The sequence below is a fragment of the Homo sapiens genome, chromosome 5, assembly GCF_000001405.40.
Source record: "Homo sapiens chromosome 5, GRCh38.p14 Primary Assembly".
Taxonomy (NCBI): domain Eukaryota; kingdom Metazoa; phylum Chordata; class Mammalia; order Primates; family Hominidae; genus Homo; species Homo sapiens.
Window position 1 is genome coordinate 55866280 of NC_000005.10, and position 25515 is coordinate 55891794.

Below are 25515 nucleotides of genomic sequence, written 5' to 3' on the forward strand. Positions count from 1 at the left end.
CATGAGGCTTCCCCTAGACTAGTGGTCCCTAGCCTTTTTGGCACCAGGGACCGGTTTCATGGAAGACAATTTTTCCATGGACAGGGGGTGGGGTTGGGAGTTGGGGGATGGTTTCAGGATGAAACCGTTCTACCTCATATCATCAGGCATTAGTTAGATTCTCATAAGGAGTGAGCAACCTAGATCCCTCACAAGCACAGTTCACAGTAGGGTTCAGCTCCTATGAGAATCTAATGCTGCTGCTGTTCTGAGGCAGGGGTAGGGGTGGGGGCGGGGAGCTCAGGCGGTAATGCTCGCTCACCTGCTGCTCACCTCCTGCTGTGTGGCCCAGTTCCTAACAGGCCATGGACCCGTACCTTGCCCAGCGGTTGAGGAATCCTGCTAGACTACAGCCTGGCAACCTCCCCCGGACTTGCTGTACCTGGTGAAATAGGCTACCAGCCAGATGACCTTGGTGCATGGGACCCATCCGCATGTTTGTACCGCTCTATCAAGAACACTGACATCAGAATTCTTTGCTTTACCTTCCTTTCATTCCCTCCCCATCCCTGCCCCCATATTTACTTGTTAGAAGTGATCAGCTTTTTCCTACTTCTTGTCTGGTAGAGACTGCCTTCCTAGGAAGCGCTAGACCTTCCTTTGATATATAAAGGTAATTTAAGAAGTTGCCCTCCTCTCACAAAAATGCCTGCTTCTTAAGACTATGATCTTTCCAGAGGCTCAACAAAGAAGTTAGTATAAGCCTCAGAGCTGAACATGGCCCTTAGTCTAAAATTGCTCTTAGTTCTTAGTTGTGCATGTGTGTTTGTGTGTGTGTGTTTGTGTGTGTGTGCATGTGTGTGTTTGTGTGTGTGTGCATGTGTGTGTGCATGTGTGTTTGTGTGTGTGCATGTGTGTGTGCATGTGTGTTTGTGTGTGTTTGTGTGTGTGCGCATGTGTGTTTGTGTGTGTGTTTGTGTGTGTGTTTGTGTGTGCGTGTGTTTGTGTGCGTGTGTGTGCATGTGTGTGTGCATGTGTGTGTGTGCGTGTGTGTGTGTGCGTGTGTGTGTGTGTGTGTATGTTTAGGATCAACCCCTTGGTCATCTAGTGAAGTCTATGGGCTGATTCTCAAAACAATGTTTGTAAATGCACAAATAAAATAAATAGCATTACAAAGATACCAAAATATACTGAAATGAAATCATCAAAATATTAATGAAATCATCAAAATATTAAAGAAACAAATTTGTGATCTGGTAATATGTGGTCTTCTTTATTAACACATTAAATAAGAAGACCTAATAATTGCCTTAATTTAGGTCTAATATTAATAATTACCTTAATTCAGAAATAGTGATAATAGTATTTCATATTTGTATTAGTCCATTTTCACGCTGCTGATAAAGACATACGCGAGACTGGGAAGAAAAAGAGGTTTAATTAGACTTACAGTTCCAATGGCTGGGGAGGCCTCAGAATCATGGTGGGAGGCAAAAGGCACTTCCTACATGGCTGCAGCAAGAGAAAATGAGAAAGAAGTAAAAGCGCAAACCCCTGATAAACCCGTCAGATCTCGTGGGTTATTTACTTATTTACTATCATGAGAATAGCACAGGAAAAACCAGCTTCCATGATTCAATTACCTCCCCCTGGGTCCTCCCACAACACATGGGAATTCTGGGAGATACAATTCAAGTTAAGATTTGGGTGGGGGCACAACCAAACCATATAAATATTTTAAGGTACCTGCAGCAACGAAAATATAATATGAAAATATTTGTGATTTATAATGGTGACAAAGTCACAGGCAATGATGCTATTACTGTAGTTTGTTGATTACACTTATGATGGAAGGAAATCCTAAATTTCAACAGTAGGTTAGTGAAAATTAAAGATGTAAATTTTCCCCATTTAAGTTCATGGACCCCTGAATTCTACCCATGGACCCCTTAAAGATCTAGGTCCCTGTTCTAGATGGTAGTATCTGGTTTCCCTATGAAAGTGTGGATGCTATGGGGTGGGGAGCTCTCAGGAGCAAGATTTCTAAGATATGAAGATACAGTTGAAGATATTTCATAAATTTCTCTATTGTACAATCTTCTGGAAAAGAAAATTGTTGATACATATGGTTGAAGTGTGGCATGGTTGTATTCTTGCTTATGCCCACATCATCTGTTACCCATGAATTATCCAGAGTGATTCTACCATTTGATGCTTTACTGAGTATATCACAAATACTTTGTATGTATTTCTTGGTGTTTTAAAAATGCTTGCTGCTCAAATGTTACATTTAAGTAAGAATGTAAAAAGGGATTTCTTAAAAAGTAGAAATCTAGCTCTTGAAAGGGAATAATTAAAGAGATGAAGTTAGATTCTTTCCATTGAACCTGATTGCTAGGTTACACCTAGCAACTAACCAAAAAAATCTAGCTTTTGATCAGCATATTTTCCATTAAAAATGTTCAATGCTGGCAATATTTATTGTGTACTGAAATTTTTGTGTTTGTGTGTGTGTGTGTTTAATTTATTTAGCTCTGCCAGCTAAGCCTGAGAACATTTCCTGTGTCTACTACTATAGGAAAAATTTAACCTGCACTTGGAGTCCAGGAAAGGAAACCAGTTATACCCAGTACACAGTTAAGAGAACTTAGTAAGTACAGGAGCTTGTGTTTTATCAGTCAGGGCATGGGGGAGGCAGAGGCTTCTGATTCATTCATGATTCACATCCCATATGAAGCAAAAAGTTTCCTCAATGACAGCTTCTGGGTGATTACTGTGTGCAGCCAGTGGCTTGTGGACGGGATCTGGAGCTGCAGAGGGAGGGGAGGCATAGCCAGTGTTGACCTCCTCCTGGATTCCCCATTGGCTGAGATGAGTCACCAGTTATAAGCACAGTGGAAAAATCTGTTTATTTACTACACTCAACTATACCCTGCCTCTTTCCAGAATGTGTTATATAAAACTGTTCATTCTTTCTGGATCCAGATATAGTAAGTAAGGTTGTAAACCCAGAACTAACAGGCAATTGACCATGGTCTGCCACTAATTTGCTGTGTGACCTCTGTCAAACACTATTCCACAGGACAATGATTCCCCAATTTTTTTTACTACCTCAAGCATCCCTCTTTATTCCAATTCTGTAGAATGAAAATTTTATAATTTTTAATTATTATTCTAGCCAAAAGCTAGATGTTTTAAGTAAATATTTGCAGGTTAAAAAAAAACTTTTTTTTGAGACAGAATCTCACTCTGTCCCCCAGGCTGGAGTGCAGTGGTGTGATCTCAGCTCACTACAACCTCCATCTCCCAGGTTCAAGCGATTCTCCTGCCTCAGCCTCCCAAGTAGCTGGAATTATGGGTGCACACCACCATACCTGGCCAACTTTTGTATTTTTAGTAGAGACAGGGTTTCACCATGTTGGCCAGGCTGGTCTCGAACTCCGGACTTCAAGTGATCCGCCCACCTCAGCTCCCAAAAGTGCTGGGATTACAGGCATGAGCCACCGTGCCTGTCCTTTTTAACAAAAATTTTTAACATAGCTCATTACTTCCTTCTTGTGAATAATGAATAAGGGGGCCCATGTTGGGAAGCATTGTAAGATGACCTTTAGTCTTTTTCATTTCAAAACAGTCTGTGATTCCAAATTCTTTATTTTTAAGCTAAATCTCACATTGCAAGGGAAGTCCACTTTATGTTTTCAGTGGAAGAAATGAAAAAAACAAGCAGTATTCTCAGCAGCACTGATATAGCTACGAGAACCTATGTCAGAGAGATGCTTTAAAACAGGAGTCAGCAAATTTCTCTTCTAAAGGGCCAGATGGTAAATATAGTAATATTAAGAAGGAGATCGGTCTCTGTCAGAACTTTTCAACACTACTGTTATAGCACTCATACAGCTATAGGCAATATATAAACCAATGGGTGCGGCTGCTTTCCAACGAAACTTTATCCATGGACACTGAAATGTGAATATTATATAATTTTCACACGCCCCAAAGTATTTTTGTTCGTTTTATTTATTTTTCAACCATTAACAGCATGTAAATAGTCTTAAGCCTACAGGCTGTGCAAGATCAAGAGATGGGCTATATTTGACCTACAGGCTGTCGTTTGCTTATCCCTGTTTTAGAAAATAAGCATGATAAAGGCCCAATAACCCATGATCCAAATGACTTTTCTTCCAGATTTGTCAGTTCTAGTCCCAGTGTTGAATATCAATTGCTAGTAGAATGAGAATCTGGGCACCTTTATAGGTTTACTGCTATTTTTCTGTCTTATAGAGACATTTCCCCTCTTCCTCCATCTTTCCCTTTGGGTTGTTATTATTATCACCAGTTGGACATGGAGAAATAGAAAACACCTGGGAATCCCCAGGCCTATACCCAGCTCCCCTTGATGGCCTCAGGCCAGCTAGGCTGTCTAGAACTCCTAGGCCACTTGCATTTTTGTGAATTTATCACCAAGAGGATCTCTTCCAAGCAAAGTGGAAGGGTTTCCCTGTGGATGGCCTACCTGGGAGCACTTTTCAGTAGGTCATGGAATAAGCCAAAAACCTTCTGATGTCCAGAAACAATAGGAAAGAATTTTTCCTGGGGAGTTGGGGATGCCTTCATGGAGATAATGATTTTTGAACTGAGGCTGAAAGGAGGTCTAGAGGTGTGGAAAAGGAGAGAAAGTTTATTTCTCAAAGGTCACAGCATGAATAAATGCAGAAATATTCAACTACAATTATAGTAATAACAGCTCACATTTATTGACTCTGTGCTGGACATTTTAAAAGTGCCTTATGTGTATTAGCTCATTTCATCCTCATAACCCTATGCTACAGATATATTACTGTCTTCATTTTACAGATGAGAAAACTAAGGCACAGAGAGGTTAAAGAACTTGCCCAAGTCACACAGTTAATAGGGGCAAAGCCACGATTCAAACCTGGTCTGATTCTAGAACCTGTGCTTATAACCACGACACATTGCCCTGGAGGCCATTTTTGTGCTGTAAAATAACCATCAACCACTCTTGAGGTCCTTTCTAGTTTCAAAATTCCATGATTCTATGTGTCTATGTCTCCCTGTATGTATTCCATGTGTATATGTCTTCCCACACACCAGCAAACACTGGTACCTTGCAAGGTGGGCCTTCTTTTCTGTTCTCAGCCTGCTTTATCTCCTCCACAACCCCCAGAACCATGTGGACTATAGCTAGAACCACCCATCTGATTCCCACTAATATGTGTATTTGTTTTCATTAAGTTACAGCTTGGTAGTATATATCTAATCTATCATCTATCTATCTGTTTTAAAGATTTTTCTGAAAACAATATATACCAATGTTCAAAAATTCAACCTGAAAAATTATAAAGAATGTAAAAAGTTACCCAGAATCCCACTGCCAAGGGTAACAGCTTGAACATTTTGATGATCTCTCTAGATATCTCCACAAAGTTATGTAAATATCTTTATGTTTATGTAACTGTGATCATTCTATACATGATATGCATCCTACTTTTTTTCACCAGCAGTAGATGCATCTTTCCATATCAATAAATACAGTATGTTAAAAACCATCACTTACATTCTATTTATGTATCTACCATAATGTATTTAACAAATCCTTACATATATGAATATATTTTTACATATATATGTAAAAGAATAAATTTTTAAGGCTAGAATCTGGAGTTTTCAGGGACCTACTCATGATTTCTTGCAACTATAGCTTTTCATGCTATATAGGACATGCATTGCAACTATAGCTTTTCATGACTTACAGGGATCCAAAGAGGTTTTCATGGCTCCTAAAGCATCTCAGGCAGCAGAAAGCAGGTAACCTTTACCTTTCCTTGGAGGTGAGGAAGGAATTTGGAAAGAGGATAACCAAATATCCTGGACTATACAGTTCTCAAGAAAACCCAGAGAAAAACTAACAAATTACTGCTTAATACATTAAATATGGTTATGTTTCCAAACCATTGTACTAAACTCATGTTGAATCACTTTTTCTTTCAAAGCGCTTTTGGAGAAAAACATGATAATTGTACAACCAATAGTTCTACAAGTGAAAATCGTGCTTCGTGCTCTTTTTTCCTTCCAAGAATAACGATCCCAGATAATTATACCATTGAGGTGGAAGCTGAAAATGGAGATGGTGTAATTAAATCTCATATGACATACTGGAGATTAGAGAACATAGGTAAGTGTTATTTGATACTCTTATATACTCTTTATTAAATGTTTACCTCCTTCTCTGTTCAAGAGGTATCTGTGGACTCAAAAGTAGGCTCATCAAGTTCAAGGATATGTGTTGTGGGTATACAGAAAATTCATCTTCTAATTAAAGAAGAAAGGAAGTGGGGGAAGGAGGGAAGGAAGGAAGGGAGGGAGGGAGGGAGGGATTCACCAAATGGGAAAAAAGGAATGAGAAACAAAAGCTATTTTGTGGGCCACTGGTTTCCTCTTGTAGTTTGTAATTGCACTCAAAGAAACAAAAAGGTCTCTCCCCACCACCCCACCCTGCCAATGTCATTGCTCATAAACGAAAAGAGCATAAAATTATTATTTTTTAAAATGCCTCACCACTTCTGACTTAAAAAAAAATCTTTTTCAAAGACTAATTTTCACCATATACTTTTAAAATTATAACTGTATTGAGATATAATTCACATTATATAAATTTCACCTTTTTAAAATGTACAGTTCAGTGATTTTTATTGTATTCACAAAGTTGTACATATGTTACCACTGTCTAATTTCAGAACATTTTTATTGCCCTCAAAAGAAAATTCATACCCATTAGCAGTCAGTCCTCAATCCTTTGTTTTCTCTTTCCTCCATTCTCTGGCAACCACTAATCTATTTTCTGCCTGTATGGATTTGCCTATACATTTTATAAAAATATAATATGTGGTCTTTTTATCTAATTTCTTTCACTTAGCATAATGTTTTCAAGGTTCATCAATGTTGTAGCATGTATTAGTGCTTTAATTCTTTTTATAGCTAAATAATATTCCACTGGATGTATATACCACATTTTGTTTACCCATACATCAGTTTATGGACATTTGGCTTGTTGCTACCTTTTGATTATTATGAATAATGTTGCTGTGAATATTTGTATACAATTTTTTGTGTGGACATGTTTCAATTCTCTTAGATATATACCTAGTGAAATTGCTGAGTCACATGGTAACTCAATGTTTAACTTTTGGTAGAACTGCTAAACTTTATCAAAGTGACTGCACCATTTAACATTCCCACTGGCAATTTATAAAGGTTACAATTTCTGCATACCCTCACCAACACTTGTTATTGTCCATCTTTTTTTAATTATAGCCATCCTAGTGGGTGTGAAGTGATACCTTGTTATGGTTCTGATTTGCATTTATCCAATGTCTAATGATATTGAACATTTTTCATGTGTTTATTGGCCATTTGTATATCTTCTCTGGAGAAATGCTTATTCAAATCCTTTGCCTATTTATAATTGAGTTGTCTTTATTGTTGAGTTTTAAGAATTGTTTATATATTCTTGGCACAAGTTCCTTATCAGATATGTAATTTGCAAATATTTCCTCCCTGTTTGTGGGTTTTCTTTTACTTTTTAAATGGTTAAGGTAGAAAAATATTTATATGAAGTCAAAAATGTATATATTTTTTATTTGATTGTTTGTACTTTAGGTGTCATATCTAAGAAACCATTGCCTAACCTGAGGTCAGAAAGATTTACTGCTGTAGTTTTTTCTAAGAGTTTTGAAGTCTTAGTTCCTACATTTGAATTATTGATCCATTTTGAGTTAATTTTTGTATATGGTGTTAAATAGGGGTCTAACTTTATTCTTTTGCATGTGGATATCCAGTTATCTCAGAATCATTTGTTGAAAAGATGATTTCTGACCCCATGGCCCCATCCCACGTTGTTGAATTGTCTTGGCACCTTTGTAAAAATCAATTATTTCACCATAAATGTAAGGTATTTTTCAGGGTCTTCAATTCTATTCCATTGAACTATATTTTTGTAATTAGGCCAATACCACACTGTCTTGATTACTGTAGCCTTATAATAAGTTTTGAAATTGGGAAAGTGAGTCCTCCAACTGTGTTCTTTTTCAAGATTGTTTTAGCTGTTGGGTCCCTTGCATTTCCATATAATATTTTAGTATTAGCTTGTCAATTTCTGCAGAGAAGTCAGCTGTGATTTCAATACGGATATTGTCATCTTCATAATAAACAATCTTCCAATCCATGAACATGGAATATCTTTCCATTTATTTAGGCTGCCTTCAGTTTCTTTCATTAATTTGTTACAGTTTCCAGTGCAGAAGTTGTACATTTCTTTGGTTCAGTTTATTCCAAAGTATTTTATTCTTTTAAATGCTATTGTAAATGGAATTGCTTTCTTAATTTTATTTTCAGATTGTTCATTGTTAGTGTATATAAATACAATTGATTTTTGTATATCGATTTGGTAATTGGCAACCTTGTTGAACTTGTTTATTGGTTCTAATAGGTTTTTTAGGTGGATTCCTTAGGATTGTCTGTATACAAGGTCATGTCATCTGCAAACATAATCTTATTTCTTCCTTTATGATCTGGATACGTTTTATTTTTCTTGACTAGTTGCCTTGTCTAGAACTTTTAGTATAGTGTTGAATAGAAGTGTTGAAAGCAGACATCCTTTTCTTGTTCCTGATCTTAGGGGGAAAGCATCTAGTCTTTCACCATTTAAGTTTGATGTTAGTTTAGCTATGGGTTTGGTAGATACCCATTGCACATTGAGAAAATTTCCTTCCACTCATAGTTTGTTGAGCATTTCCTTATTGTGAATAGGTGTGGGATCTTGTCACATGCCTTTTCTTTATCTGGTGGGATGATCATATGGTTTTGTCTTTTATTAAAATGGTGTCTTACATTGACTGGTTTTCATAAGTTAAACAAACCTTGTATTTCTGTAATAAATTCCACTTGGTTGTGGTGTATAATTCTTTTTATATGTCGCTGAATTTGGATTCCTGGTTTTTTATTGAGGATTTTTGCTCCTATATTCAACATGGATATGGTCTGTAGCTTTCTTGTGATATCTTTGTTTTTGGTATCAGGGTAATATTGGCCTCATAGAATGAGCTGGTAAGTGTTTCCTCATCTTCTATTTTTTGGAAAAGTCTGTGAAAGACTAGTGTTAATTATTTTTAAACCTGTCAATAGATTTCCTCAGTGAAGCCATCTGGGCCTGGGCTTTCTTTGTGGGAAGTTTTTGACTTGGTTTCTTTATAAAACTTTTTTTTTAAGACCTCCCTTTGGAAGACTTACTCCACACTGTAAACATTGGTGTTAATTCATGATGATAGACCTGGAAGGGGACAAGATTATTCACTTTTTCTCAAAAACCTTCATTATTACTATTTTTACTTTCTTAAAATAAATGTATTATTACTTTAGCAATTAAAATATTAAAAAGCAAATTCAGTTACAAAGAAAACTCAAAACAAAACAAAGCAAACTTTCTAGTCCTTCTTTCAACTAGATTTAGTATCTATTTAAATATTCTGTAATTGCCACTGCTTAAAACTTTGAGGAGGAATTTTGGCCTAAATTGATACAATACTGGAATTATAAAATTAAACTCTGAAGAAACTCTGTTTTTATAATATGTTTCTAGGACCTGGTAAAGTGTTGCTAAGTACTAAGATTTTTTTTAATCCTTTAATGAAAGCATTTAATATCAGAATAATAAGCATAATAATTTTATAATAATTAGGTTAGTACAAAAGTAATTGTGGTTTTTGCCATTACTTTCAATAGAACTTTTCTTATTTAAATTCAAGTGGATAGAACTATGACAGTGCTTTTAAGAGCAATTAAAAATATTTTGGGCTGGCGCGGTGGCTCATGCCTGTAATCCCAGCACTTTGGGAGGCTGAGGCGGGCAAATCATGAGGTCAAGAGATTGAGACCATCCTGGCCAACATGGTGAAACCCCGTCTCTACTAAAAATACAAAAATTAGCTGGGCATGGTGGTGCGCACCTGTAGTCCCAGCTACTCGGGAGGCTGAGGCAGGAAAATCACTTGCACTCGGGAAGCAGAGGTTGCAGTGAGCCGAGATCATGCCACTACACTCCAGCCTGGTAACAGAGCAAGATTCCATCTCAAAAAATATATATATTTTGATCTCTAATTGAGATACGTCCTTCCTACCCCCAGTTTACAGTGATAATTTGCTTAAACCTTTTTCACAGATAATGCCGGAGTTTACTTTGGTCCAGCCTCTGACATAAATTATTACAGTTAGTGGTATCTAAATAAATAAACTTTAGCTATGTTTGATATGCATCAGTTTTTGACTTAAAATGTATTCTGTCTGATTTTAGTATGCCCACCCTGCTCTCTTTTGTTTACTATTTGCATGGAACATCTTTTTTCATCCTTTCACTTTCAATCTATTTGTATTTTCAGATCTAAAGTTAGTCTTTGTAGATAGCATATAGTTAGATCTTTTTTTAATTTAAATTTTTTATTTTATTTTTTATAGAGACTTGCTATGTTACTCAGGCTGGTCTTGAACTTCTGGCCTCAAATGAACCCTCTGCTTTGGCCTCCCAAAATGTTGAGATTACCAGCATAAGCCCTTGTGCCCAGCCAGTTGGATTTTTTTTTCTTTAATTATCTGCTGATCTGTGTATTTGGGTTGGAGAGTTTAACCTATTTACATTTAAAGTAATTGTTGATAAGGAAGGACTTACTTTTGACATTTAAAATTTTTTCTTTTATATTTTATAGCTTTTTTATCCCTCTTTTTTTCATTATTGTCTTCTTTTGTGTTTAGTTGATTTCTTTGTGGTGACGTGTTTTGATTTCCTTTGGTGTATTTTCTATAGATACTTTCTTTGAGATTACCATGGGGACTACAAATAGCATCTAAAGTTATAACAATCTAATTTGAAATGATATCAACTTAACTTCAATTGCATATAAAACTCTACTCCTACACAGCTTCATTCCCCATCCCCATTTTATGTCATTGATGTCACAAATTACATCTGTATCCACTGTATACCATAAAGCTATAATTGTTTTTCATACATTAGTCTTTTAAATTCTTTGGAAAATAAAAAGAGGAATTATAAACCATAATTACAATAATACTAGCTTTTATATTTGCTTGTGTATTTATACTAGAGATCTTTATATCTTCATCTGGCTCCAAGTTAATGTCTAGTGTCCTTTCATTTCAACCTGAAGGACTCCTTTTAGCATTTCTTATAGGGCAGGCCTATTGGTAATGAACTCTCTCAACTTTTATTTATTTTGGAATGTCTTAATTTCTCCCTCATTTTTGAAGAATAGTTTTGCCAGGTATGTAATTCTCAGTTGACAATTTTTTTTCTCTTTCAGCACTTTAAATGTATTATCCCACTGCCTTCTGGGCTCTAAGGTTTTTGCTGATCTTAGTTGAAGATCCATTGTATGTGATGAGTTGTATCTCTCTTGCTGCTTCCAAGATACTGTCTTTGTCTTTCTGGGGTTTGGTTGTAATGTGTCTTAGTGTGGGTCTCTTTGGGTTTATCCTACTTGGTATTCACTGGGATTCTTGGATTTGTAGATTTGTGTATTTCATCACATTTGGGGACTTTTTAGCTACTATTTCTTCAAATAATCTCTCCACCACTTCCTCTCTCTCTTCTCTTTCAGAAACTCCCAAAATGTGTTTATTGGTTGGCTTGATCCTGTTCCACAGCTCCCTTAGACTCTGTTTATTTTTCCTTATATTTTTTCTTTCTGTTCCTCAGACTCAATACTTTCAGTTGTTCTATCTTCACATTTACTGATTGTTTCTTATGCCTGCTTAAGTTTACTGCTGAACCCCTGTAGTGAATTTGTATTTCAGGTACTGTGATTTTCAACTTCAGAGTTTCTGTTTGCTTCTTTTAAAAAAATAATTTATATATTTTTGTTGATATTCTCATTTTGTTCATGTATTATTTTCCTGATTTCCTTTAGTTATTTGTCCATGTTTAACTTTAGCTCTTTGAACATATTTAAGGTGATCATTTTAGGGTCTTGGTCTAGAAATTCTGATGGCTGGGCTTCCTCAAGGACAGTTTCTGTGGATTTGTTTTGTTTACTTAAATGGGCCATGTTTTCCTGTTTCTTTGTATGCCTTGCAATTTTTGTTGTTGTTGTTAAAAATTGGGCATTGGAAAAAACAGCTACCTCTCCACGTCTTTGCAGACTGACTCTGTGCTGGGGCTGTTCTTCATAGATTAGCTGGGCTTACTCTGAGCCTAGGGATCAGCCCAAGGTGAAAACTTAAAGTCTTCTCAGTTCTTTTCTGAGTATACATCTTGTGTAGGCCTGGCTGGTGCTTTCTCAGTTACACTGTATATACACACAGCTGCTTTTTTTTCTTCTTTTTTTGAGACAGGGTCTGGCTCTGTTGCCCAGGCTGGAGTTCAGTGATGCCATCATAGCTCATGGCAACCTCCCCTTCCTGGTCTCAAGCCATTCTCCCACCTCAGCCTCCCAAGTGGCTGGGACTACAGGCACACACCACACCTGGCTACTTTTTATATTTTTTTGTAGAGGTGGCATTTCACCATGCTGCCCAGGCCAGTTTCAAACTTCTGAGCTCAAGTGATCTGCTTGCCTCAGCCTTTCAAAGTGTTGGGATTACAGGTGTGAGCCACTATGCCCGGCCACAGCTGCTTTTGAATGTCTTAATTTCCCAAAGAGTCTTACCCAGTTTCTCCTTATGATTTTATATAATTTATTGTATGTCTGCATACATAATCTCTTGCCCCAGGCTTCCATGTGTCTGTAGTCTCCCTGTAGCTTTTATGAGCAGTGCCTGGCTCTTTTCCTGCCTGAGATTAAAGTTAGGCAAAACAGAGACCAGTCGTTTAGTCTGCCCTCAGACAGGCTGGAATATAAGTAAGTGTGCTCTGTTCTCTTTAGTTGGTAGAAGGGAAATAGGACCTGAGATGCCACCTTCTTCAAACCAAGACCACTGATGTTTCAGGGAGAGGGTGGGGCAAGGGCAAGTAAGACAGCCACAAAACTATTTTCCTGCCACTTTGAAGGTGACTTTGTCTTGATTTGGTGTTTATAATGGTTATAAACCTTGGGTTGATTTCCAGAGCTCCTACAAGTTTAGTTCAGCCAGTTTCTGTCCTTTTTTTTTTTTTTTTTTTTTTTTTGAGATGGAGTGTTGCTCTATCACCCAGGCTGGAGTGCTGTGGCGCGATCTTGGCTCAATGCAACCTCCGCCTCCCAGGTTCAAGCGATTCTCCTGCCTCAGCCTCCCAGGCAGCTGGGACTACAGGCACGCACCACCATACCCAGCTATTTTTGTATTTTTAGTAGAGACAGGGTTTCACCATGTTGGCCAGGATGGTCTTGATCTCCTCACTTTGTGATCCACCTGCCTCAGCCTCCCAAAGTGCTGGGATTACAGGCATGAGCCTCCAAGCCCAGTCCAGTCTTTTTTTTTTTTTTTTCAATGTTTTCATGGGAGAACAAGAACTTAGAGCTACCTAGTCTGCCATTTTGCTGATGTCACTTGATATAAATCAGTTCTTAATGAGATATTCTGAGAGCTATTTTTATTCAGAGGAATAACTAATACTTTCTATCTCCTTGGTTATAGAGTATTAGAGTTAAGTGGAACTACAGTAGGTATTTGTGTTTATTCTGACTGGAGGTGGTTAGTGTAATGAACAAGGGCAGAAACTTTGGTGTGGATACAAATGAGTCTTAGATTGGCTTCTTATTAGAAAGTTATTTTCCCTTTTCCAATACCAGTTTTATCTTCTGTAGAATGGATATAATAAATGTTAGGTGGTTGAGAGGATTCAACAAAATGATTCACCTAAAAAAATACTTATCAAGTGCTCAATACATATAAATAATTTTATGGAAATACTTAATATGTCTATTGTATACAGCTCTACTTACTAGTGGCCACACGGATTGATGACCACCCTTTAGTCCAGGCATCAGTACAAATTATTTTTTGAGTAGCTACCAAGAGTTTTCTGAATATTTTTACCCAGTTAATGTTTTAAAGTCCATGTCTCTAAGTAGGGATTTTGCTTTCTAAAACTCTTCAAGAATTACAAAGACCCCATTCTCCATGATGTGATTATTTTACATTGCATGCCTGTATCAAAACAGCTCATATGTCCCATAAATATACACACCAACTATGTACTCAAAAAATTAAAAATTTTAAAAATTAAAAAAAGAATTACAAAGACTAAAAAGATAATACTATTCAATTCTAGCTAGCAAGAGTCTGGTGAGATGGGTATTCATACAATGTTGATGGAAACTGAAATTGGTATAACCTTTCTGGAAAGCTAAATGGCACTGTGTGACAGCAGCCCTAAACATGGTCATGCCCTTTTACCCAGTCAGCCTCTGCTAAGGGGTCTAGGGAAACCACCAGAGATGTAAAGGAAAATTCAACCATCATCCATTTACTCATTCACTTAACAAATATTTGATACCTGCTAAATGTCAGGTGTTAATTCTAGACTCTGTGATCAAGACCAGCCTTTGTCCTCAAGGAGTTTTAAATGAAAAATTAGAAACACTATTGTTAGCGGTGGAAGTTATCTGAGTTACCAGCAGCAAATCCGTATGGGTCTGCAGCAACCTCAGTTCTTGCCTCCTCGGAAGAAAGAATTCAACTGAGGGGCATACGACAGAAGAAGAAACTGAGGCACGTTTTAGAGCAGGAGTGGAAGTTTATTAAAAAGCTTTAGAGGCCGGGCGCGGTGGCTCATGCCTGTAATCTCAGCACTTTGGGAGCCTGAGGCGGGCGGATCACGAGGTCAGGAGCTTGAGACCGTCTTGGCTAACATGGTGAAACCTTGTCTCTACTAAAAATACAAAAAATTAGCTGGGCGTGGTGGCAGATGCCTGTAGTCCCAGCTACTAGGGGGGCTGAGGCAGGAGAATGGCGTGAACCCGGAAGGCGGAGCTTGCAGTGAGCCGAGATCGCGCCACTGCACTCCAGCGTGGGTGACAGAGCAAGGCTCCATCTCAAAAAAAAAAAGAAAAAGATAAAGAAAAAGAAAAAAAAGCTTTAGAGCAGGAATGGAAAGAAGGAAGAAGGTAAAGAACACTTGGAAGAGGGCCAAGTGGGCATCCTGGAGGTCAAGTGCCCCGTTTGACCTTGGACTTTTCTGCGCCTTGGGTTTTCTACGCCGGCCTACTTCCGGCACCTTGCGTCCCATTTCCCTTGATTCTTCCCTTACGGTGAGCTGCCCACTTGCACGGCGGCCTGCTAGAACTTAGGAGGTGAGCATGCGCAGTGTATTTACTGGAGTCGTACGCATGCTCAACTGAGGCGTTCTTCCCTTTTCCATTGGAATGCCCCCAGAAGCTCATATACCAGTTAAACTCTGCCATTTTGCCTCTTAATGGCCATGCTTGAGCCCACTCGCCCAGTTCCTGAGATTTTTTTTTTTTTTTTTTTTTTTTTTTTTGAGACAGAGTCTCACTGTGTCGCCCAGGCTGGAGTGTGGTGGTGCAATCTGCCACCTCTGCCTACTGGGTTCAAGTGATTTTCCTGCCTCCTGAGTAGCTGGGATTATTGGCGCCCGCCACCATGCCCGGCTAATTTTTGTATTTTTAGTAGAGATGGGGTTTCACTATGTTGGCCAGGCTGGTCTTGAACCCCTGACCTCCTGATCTGCCTGCCTCAGCCTCCCAAAGTGCTGGGATTACAGATGTGAGCCACTGCGTCCAGCCCAATTCCTGAGATCTTACTGGGGAGCTGCCAATCACCAGTTACAGGTGTTTTTATATATTGGGAAACTGCCTTTCCCTGGTGCTGGCTACAGCCAATTATTAGGTTTGCAAGGCAGCGTGACAATGGTCTGAGCATCACCTGATGGTCACCTGACTTTCCTGGTGGGGTGTAGGGGGAGCCCTCTCCTGTCCTTCTCATGCCTGATTAGCTACCTACTGTAATACCATGAATGTGCGATAATAGAACATAAGTCAAAAAATTATGTTCATTCATAAAGTAGAATATTATGAACCTTAAAAATCATGTTTTGAAGAATTATTAATACAAAGGGATATATGCTGATTGCATAATGTTATTTTTAAAAAACAAAAGCTTTATTTAGCGTAATACCAATTTTGTTAGAAGATAATGCAAATAATTATACGGAAAACGGCTGAAAGGAAATATAACAAAATGGTAATAAGGGTTATCTCTGGTTGATGGGATAATGGATGATTTTTAGTTTTTCTTTGTATTTTTCTACACTTAAAAAATGTTGTATAATAAGCATATGCTACATTTATAACTAGAAAAATGCATATTTTCAAAGAGAGAAATTTAAGGCTAAAATGTTTGCAGTGTGCAAGGAAAATGAGAGTTATTTTCTAGTGTTTATAGTGGGTATTCCATCATCCTAGGGGTCAAGGAAGGAGAGGCCTAGGGGAGGTGAGAGTAAATAAGAGAGACAGCCTATTTTCTGGTTGTGTGGTCTCTTTTTACCTCCCTTCTGCTTGGCATAGCATATGACCAATCAATAAGAGGCTGATTTGCTGAAAAATCACAGGAATGCATCCTTCTCTCACTGGGTATTCCTTTTTCAGAGGTGTTGGGGTTGGGGGGGTGACATTCCTTTTGTACTGCCTTGCAAATGCCATCTTCGTTCCATATAGCAGACCACAATGCACGTATCATTTTTTTTCAATTTTGGGTGGATGCTATTAGCAAATTCTTATCTTTTTGCAGATATGAGAGTTGTATGATTTTTATTTTCAGCGAAAACTGAACCACCTAAGATTTTCCGTGTGAAACCAGTTTTGGGCATCAAACGAATGATTCAAATTGAATGGATAAAGCCTGAGTTGGCGCCTGTTTCATCTGATTTAAAATACACACTTCGATTCAGGACAGTCAACAGTACCAGCTGGGTAAGTTATGCCATTATAATAATATTCCAATTAGAGGCCCAGAGGAAAAGAATCATTGACAACTATTGTTGACCTGGAATCATTATTTCACTTTTTACATTAAAAATAGAAGAGAGACATTGCTAAGTACTTCTCCTTCCAGTTTTCCATTTTTCCATCTGGACCTTTTAGATTGGAAGGGTGTTCTACAATAGGCATTTTTGCCTTCTGAGCACAGGGACATAATAAAGAGTGAGAAATTTACTTCTGCATTATATCCAAGTTTGTGTCTGGCTATGTTGGCTACCAGAGAGTCTATGGTTTGGCCATTTTATTTTTTATTTTTCTGACCTTTTATAAAATCATGAGGTATAACATACATTTGGAAAGGTGAACAAAACGTAATATTACATTTAACAAATTATTATTAAGTCAGTGCTCATGTAGAAACCACTGCGGCCAAGAATAGAACTTCTCCAGGATGCCAGAGCCCCCTGCTTACCCTTTGCTCATGACCTCTGTTAGAGCTGTTACCCTGATTTTCATGGTAATCTTCTTTGCTTTCATTTTTTACCATTTAAGGCTGCATCACTGAAGAACATAGTTTAAGAGACTATGCCCTGTTTCCTTGAGTCCCAGGATGAAGAAGCGCCCAGTAGAAATAGAGGAGGAGCATATAAAGGGAATCCATATATTTTGTATTTTCTAATGTTTGGCTTCTATCTCTCAATATTGTGCTTTTAAGACTTATTCATGCTATATAATGCTGTAGTTTATACATTTTCATTGCTGTGTAGTATCTCATAGTATGAACATGATGGAATGGTGGCTTTAATTTGCATTTACCTGACCTTTAATGAAGTTACACACCTTTTCACATGTTTATTGGCCCTTTGGATTCCTTCTTCTGGAAGCGCTGATTTAAGCCTTTTGCATGTTTTTTCTATTGGCTGGTCTGCCTGATTTTTCAATTGATTTGTAGGCATTCCTTACATATTCTATTTATGAGTCTTTTATTTGTTACGTGTATTGCAAACATCTTTCACTATGTGGCATGACGTTTCACTCTCTTAATGGTGACTTTTGAGGAATAGTCACTTAATTTTAATATGGTTAGAGTTTTATCAGTCTTTACCTTTATGCTTAATGCCTTTTGTGTCTTAGGAAATGTTTTCTTACCTCAAAGTCAAGAAAATATTCTGCAGTTTCCATCAATGCAGCCTGAAATTGTATCACCTTTTTGTAATCATCTCATATTTATTGCCTTTTTATAAATTTTAGACAGGGTCTCACTCTGTTACCCAGGCTGGAGTGCAGTGGTGTGATTGCAGCTCATTGCAGCCTTGAACTCTTGGGCTCAAACGATCCTCCTGCCTCAGCCTCTCGAGCAGCTAGGACTACAGGCATATGCCACCATGCCTGGCTGATTTTTAAATTTTTTTTGTAGTGTTGCCCAGGTTGGTCTGGAACTCCTGGTCTTAAGTGATCCTCCTCTCTCAGCCTCCCAAAGTTCTGAGATTACAGGTGTGAGCCATCATGAGCAGACACATTATTGACTTTTAATCAACTATTAGCCAATTAAATCTTTAAGACTTTTTACCTCCTGAAGACTTGCCAGTAAAACATACCTCTACTATCTTATCATTTGTTGGTTTTTAACCTAAGTTCAGGTGTTTTATTTATTCTTATTGAATGTCTTCATGTTGGTCTTATCTATCATTCCAGCCTATTTAGAATCCTGTTTGGTCACCCAAAACTTATGATTAACTTTTTACTTTTTAACTTTTCAGTATCCCCAGATTTGATAACACTTCCTTCTATACCTTTATCTAATTATTAATAAAAATGGTGACTACATCAGAGCCCTGTGGTAAACCAGTAGAAACCATCCAGAGGATCAACCCCTCCTTTGGATATGGTCATTTATTCAGGTTTCTATGAATATACCTAATTACCACTATCATCATTCAGCCTACTTTTTTTTATCTTGTCCAGGAGGCTATCATGCGACCCTTTCCCTTGTGGAAACCCATAGACACCCTGTTTACTGCAGCATGCTCTCCTTGTCTGGAACTCTTTCAGAAAAGCATTATTTGTCCTATTGTTGCAGAATTTTTGCTCCTTAGTTCAGCTAAATCCGGGTTCTTGTGTCAACAGGAAAAATTAGGCACGTGGACACATTGAAGGGTGAGGAGAGAGGAATTTATTGGGCGAAAAGGAAAAAAGAGAAAAAAATTCTCAGCAAAGCGAGATGGGCTCCTGCTAACAGGCTACCACCTCACAGACTGAATACCAGGCCACCACACAGGAGCTAAAGAGGCCAGGCTCCTTCCCCCTGCACAAAGCGTGAACTTCCCGTGGCTCCACCCCATTCTCCCAGTGCACAGGCGGGTCCCCAGTCTGTTGTCGACATGCGCGGACAAGACCCTGGGCAGGTTTCCTCATCTACACAAAAGCATCTGATGTAAACACTTGGGCGGGTCAGAGATTCTCTGGGAACCCCCCTTATCTGCCTTCTGCCTCTATCACTGTGTTCAGAGAGATGATAATGGCCACTTCTCCCCCCAGCTTCCTTTCTAAGCCAGCTCTGGAACCATTCTCTTTGAACCTGCCTACATGGAACATTAGATTCATTAATTGTAGTTTGGGGAACCCCTAAGCAGAGCAGTCCCCGGTATAGCACAAGCTCCTCTTCATACCACATGTCATGGTCTCCGTGAACCTGAGAAACTTCTGGGATAGTCTACTGGCTATAAACCCTTAATTCCTTCTATTTGGCTGAGTGCAGAGTTACTACAGCTGCTGGGGGATAGGATTCAACAAGAAAAATAAACCAGGACCAGAGTCCCTCTGGAAAATTACTATACCGCATATAACACTAAGTGAGGGCAACGGGTATAAACTACCCAACCCTTGGCATCCTGTACCCCGTATCTTTAACAAACTCACCCACATCTGTACTCATCTTTGCTTCCTGCCAGTCCCAGAGGTAAAATGTCCTGCCTCCTGTTTTCCTGGAGGATGCAGGAAGGAAGGTGGAAGTCTGTACTACTCTTTCTCTCTCCTTAGCTAGCTTGCTTGCTTGCTTGCTTGCTTTTTTTTTTTTTTTTTTTTTTTGAGGTGGAGTTTCACTCTTGTTGCCCAGGCTGGAGTGAATGGCATGATCTTGGCTCACTGCAACCTCCACCTCCGGGGTTCAAGTGATTCTCCTGCCTCAGCCTCCCAAGTAGCTGCGATTACAGGCTTGTGCCACCACACCTGGCTAATTTTTTGTATTTTTAGTAGAGATGGGGTTTCACATGTTGGTCAGGCTGGTCTCGAACCCCTGACCTCAGGTGATCCACCTGCCTCAGCCTCCCAAAGTGTTGGGATTATGGGCATAAGCCACCATGCCTGGCCTTCTCCTTAGCTTTCAAATACAAGCAGTTATCCTCAGTTGCAATCCCAGCTAAACCCAACTCTGCTCTTCCCAACCTTCTATCAAAGATTTCCATTGTTGATGGAAAAGGGTCCAAATTATTAACTCTGTGAGACCTGGCATCTACCGATCCCTTCACGCTCTTGCTCTTGCCTCTCTGGTCATTCTGAATTGCTTGTTTCCCTTGCATCATGTTCTCTCACTCTTTCTGTGCCTTTCCTAGAACACCCTCTGCTTTTGCACCTCTCCTGCCCCAATCTCCACCTTTCAGAACTCAGGCCTGACATATTTCCTTCTGAGGGCCTGGGCCTGGTCCCTCCTCTGCATGCTTCTGTCATTGCACTTAACAGCAATGCATTTCAACTTTCTCTTCCAGTTACACTGTAAATTCTTCAAATGCAGGGACCTTAGTTTTCATCTGTTTTCCCTTTGCCTGGTGCATGCCTGTGCTCAATAAATATTTGTTTAAATGTAGCCATGTAAAACTAATGCTAAAATTCCAACATGTCCGTTTAACAAGACCCATATTTGTATGATATTATGAGTAACAAAGAGCTTCCTTATACTCCAAATTATTTAATCCTTGCAAATATCCTGTAATTGAGGCCTTGCTATCCCCATTTTTGCAGATTAGGAAATCAAGATGTTGAAAGCTTAAATCATCTATTCAAGATCACAGGGCTTGTCAGTTGCAAACCTAAGCTCAGGTTTTCTGTCTCCCAGGTTTGCCATCCATGTGACCTTACCTCAACACCCTCCAGATTCTTTTGTGGCCCTAGTCTAAAGGGTTTGCACCTTTGTATAATAAAGCCATGTGAGCCTCTTAGAAAGGGATCTCAAAAGTATTTTAAGAATTTGATTTATGGACTGGGTGCAGTGGCTCACGCCTGTAATCCCAGCACTTTGGGAGGCCGAGGTGGGTGGATCACCTGAGATCAGGAGTTAGGGACCAGCCTGGCCAACATAGTGAAACCCTGTCTCTACGAAAAATACAAAAAAATTAGCCGGGAATGGCCGGGCACGGTGGCTCACGCCTGTAATCTCAGCACTTTGGGAGGCTGAGGCGGGTGGATCACAAGGTTAGGAGATCGAGACCATCCTGGCCAACACGGTGAAACCCCGTCCCTCTAAAAATACAAAAAATTAGCCGGGCGTGTTGGCAGGCACCTGTAGTCCCAGCTACTCGGGAGGCTGAGGCAGGAGAATGGCATGAACCCAGGAGGTGGAGCTTGCAGTGAGCCGAGATCGCCACCGTACTCCAGCCTGGGTGACAGAGCAAGACTCTGTCTCAAAAAAAAAAAGAAAAAATTAGCCCGGCGTGGTGGTGCGGACCTGTAGCCCCAGCTACTGGGGAGGCTGAGGCAGGAGAATCGCTTGAACCCGGGAGGCAGAGGTTGCAGTGAGCCAAGATCGTGCCACTGCACTCCAGCCTGGGCAACAGAGTCAGGGAAAAAAAAAAAAACAAAAAACCACACACACAGAATTTGATTTAGGTTTTGTATCAGAACTTCTGACTCATCTATTAAGACAAACACTTTGGGTGAGTTAGGATTTGGCACAAAGCATAGATTGTTAACAGTGAACATGATGAAGCTAATTAATGTTTTAGTAGGGTTCCATTGCCTGTGCAGAGTTGGGGAAGTTTTGGATCTAAGCCTGTATATAAAGGATCAATTGATCCTGGATCCTGTCGGAGCCAGAGGCACCTTGGCTGGACAAAATAACAAAGTAAAGGAGCCTTACAGGCACCTTGATTAAAAGACTGAGCAGCCGTTTCATCTTCTCTGAGGCCGGGGCTGGGAGGAAGAGGCTTCCGTGGCTACATTAGGCAGAACTTTCTGTGTAATGTACGTGATGAGAACCACTACACAGGCTGAGCATGTGCTAAGGGTACAACAAAGCAGGAGGAAAAATTGAAAGGTTAAAAAGAAGAATATTATATATTTTTTAAAGCATGACAAGTAAAATAGAGGTTTATTAGACTTCCTTACACTTGCTGTATGGATTAGTATTTTTATTTTAAATCACATATGGAGGGCACCATGTGGTTGGGCCTTTCCTGGCAGTCTTAATCCTGTTCTAGTTGGATCCCTAACTAACAACAGGCTGTCTCAAGTTACTCTCTCCACAACCCTAGTCTGCCATCACAGCATCTCCGGGGCCTGTTTGAAGAGGATGCTCAGGGAACCTGGGATTTAGCCCCCAAAGTGTCATTGCCTCTTCTTGTTCCACCTCCATCTCACCAGGCTGGGAGTTCCAAAGTCCATCTGCGGCTGTCAGCTTTCTGCCATAGACACATATCCTCCTTCTGCCCAATTTCCTTAAAGCACAGGAGCTGCAATTAGGTACTAATTTTCACAGCTGGGACATAGATGCAAGTAGTATCAGGACTTCCTTCTCTTGCAGGATCCATGGGACGATGCTGTGTGCATACTAGTTAAATAGACATGCCTATTAGTGCAGTTTATTTTTTTATTAATCAGCTCAAAATAAGCTTTATAAACCTTTAGGCTTTGGGTTTTATAAACTTTAGGTTTATAAAGCTAATATTGAGCTAAATGTTTATATTGAACTAAAGGTTTATATTGCAGCAACAATGACTGTGCTCAGAAAAGGAATAGCTAAATGTTTAGTTTCTCTTGGAGAGCTGAGTCCCAGAAATTATATAAAGCAACACCTTCACTTTACCAATGAGAAGCTGACATCTAGAGAAAATAACTGATTTTATTTACCTCTTTCCTCCCCAAGAGAGTATCAAAATTAATTTATACATTCAGGCCATTGAGACTTTCAGCAGCTTGACTGGTCACCCAAAGACCAGTGCTTTGAAGTGAAAGATTTGGGTAAAACGAAAAAGCCGAGGAGTGAAGAAATCTGTGTTCTGATCCTATTCTGTAGATCTTCTAACTTTCATTTAAATGGTTATTTAACTTTCCTGGGTCTCGTGGATGACGTGAGGATTGCATTTGATGCAGCTAAGGTCTCTGTTTCTGCTGTTCCATGAGGCAGTATCTCTAGGTGTTGGAGTCACCTCCTAGGCCCAGGTTGCCCTGGGTCATGAGGCTTGCGTCTTCTAGAACAGCAAGCAGCAGAGCTCTGCTCACCCAGACCAGGCCAGAGGCAGGAATCTCTGCCCCATAAGCTTAGATACAGGAAATGGGAAGGGAGTTGGTGGTTCATGGGGATGTTCATATCTGTGTAGGTACCAATTGTTCCCAGGCACATATGGAAGTCTGTTAATAAAAATGATATATTTTAAAATTTGATTTAGAGTGTTACTAGTTCTAAAAATGTAAAAGTACACTAGGTAGTGAAGAGGAAAATGGGAGGATAACGTGTGGTCTCCATTTCAGTTTAGGATTGTCTCTGTCTTGTAGATGGAAGTCAACTTCGCTAAGAACCGTAAGGATAAAAACCAAACGTACAACCTCACGGGGCTGCAGCCTTTTACAGAATATGTCATAGCTCTGCGATGTGCGGTCAAGGAGTCAAAGTTCTGGAGTGACTGGAGCCAAGAAAAAATGGGAATGACTGAGGAAGAAGGCAAGCTACTCCCTGCGATTCCCGTCCTGTCTGCTCTGGTGTAGGGCTGCTTTGGGCTAGACTTGGTGGGGTTTGTCACCACCTGGTTGGGAATCATGGAATCTCATGACCCCAGGGGCCCCCTGTACCATCGAGAGTGAGCCTGCACAACTTTGTGCCCCAAAGGCAAAGGATCACATTTTAATACTCATGAGGTTCTTATACTATACATGAAAGGGTATCATATCATTTGTTTTGTTTTGTTTTGTTTTTGAGATGGAGTCTTACTCTGTCACCCAGGATGGAGTGCAGTGATGTGATCTCGGCTCACTGCCACCACCACCTCCCGAGTTCAAGCAATTCTTGTGCCTCAGCCTCCCAAGTAGCTGGGATTACAGGGGCCCACGACCATGCCCGGTTGATTTTTGTATTTTTAGTAGAGAAGGGATATCACCATGTTGGCTAGGCTAGTCTTGAACTCCTGACCTCAGGTAATCTGCCCACCTTGACCTCCCAAAGTGTTGGGATTACAGGCGTGAGCCACTGTGCCCCGCCAGTATCATATCATCTGAAGGTATCCTGTGATAAATTAAAGATACATATTGTGAATCCTGGAGCTACTACTCAAAAAATAAATAAAGGTGTAACTAATACAATTTAAAAAATCACATTTTTAATGACAGTGAGGAAAGGAAAGAGGCATGGATTGCAGGTTGATGGAGTGCTTACTAAGTGTCAGTATGGTCATTAAGAGCAACGCTTCCAGTCAGTGGCCTTGGCTTAAATCCCAAGCCAGGTGTCTTTGGGCAAGATACCTAAACTCTCAGTTCATTCTCAGCAGTTTCCTCGCATTTATTCCCCTTTTCTATATTGAAATAGAATATGTAAGTTGAGTTTATAGTAGTACCTATTTTTTAGTATTATTTTAAAGATTAAATGAAATAATGTGTTTAGCCCATAGTAGATATTCACTAACTGCTAGACTTCCTATTCTTATTATTTATCCTCCTACTATTATTTTTAATCCTCCTTAAAGCACTATAAAATATGTAGAGTCACTCCCATTTTGGAAATGAGGAAACTGAGTTTCAGAGATGCTAATAAACAGCTCAGGGTCACTCAGCATGTGTTACTTTTCTCAAGAGCCTTGCCCAGAGTCTGACCCTCAGTGGACGATCAATAAATGTGTGATGAATGTATCAGTTTTCTATTGCTGCTGTAACAATACAAATTTAGTGGCTTAATGCAACACTAATGTATTCTTTCATAGCTCTGGAAGTCAGATGTCCAAAATCAGTTTCACTGGGCTAAAGTCAAGATGTCAGCAGGGCCATTTCCTTCTGAGACTCTGAGTGGAGAATCTGTTTCCTTGCCTTCTCCAGCTTCTAGTGGCTGCCTGCATTCTTTGGCTTGTGGTCCTTCTTCCATCTACAATACTTATCCCCCCATCATCACATCACCTTTCCCCACTCTTGTGTGTCAAACCTCTCTGCCTCCCTCTTATAAGGACTTTTGTGATCACAGTTAGGACCCACCTGGCTAATCCAAGATAATGTTCCCATCTCAAGATCATTAACTTAATCACATCTGCAAAGTCCCTTTTACCATATAAGGAAACATTTACAGGTTCCAGGGATTTGGACAAGATTTTTTTTTTTTTTTTTTTTTTTTTTTTTTTTG

General features: G+C 39.4%; 1 protein-coding gene across 10 annotated transcripts in view; it reads left to right on the forward strand.

The window, feature by feature from the left end:
* IL31RA (interleukin 31 receptor A) overlaps nucleotides 1-25515 on the forward strand; it is an 83062-nt gene that overhangs the window by 26491 nt on the left and 31056 nt on the right. For 6 of the 10 annotated variants that reach the window (XM_011543142.3, NM_001242638.2, NM_139017.7 and 3 more), the window contains 4 exons: nucleotides 2512-2629; nucleotides 5991-6172; nucleotides 16765-16916; nucleotides 23691-23856. In XM_011543142.3, coding sequence (XP_011541444.1) covers nucleotides 2512-2629; nucleotides 5991-6172; nucleotides 16765-16916; nucleotides 23691-23856 — 618 coding nt within the window. Of the gene's footprint in view, nucleotides 1-331; nucleotides 476-2511; nucleotides 2630-5990; nucleotides 6173-15656; nucleotides 15777-16764; nucleotides 16917-23690; nucleotides 23857-25515 lie in introns of those variants that run through there. The other 4 variants (NM_001242639.2, XM_047416701.1, XM_047416700.1 and 1 more) reach the window with 4 other exon arrangements.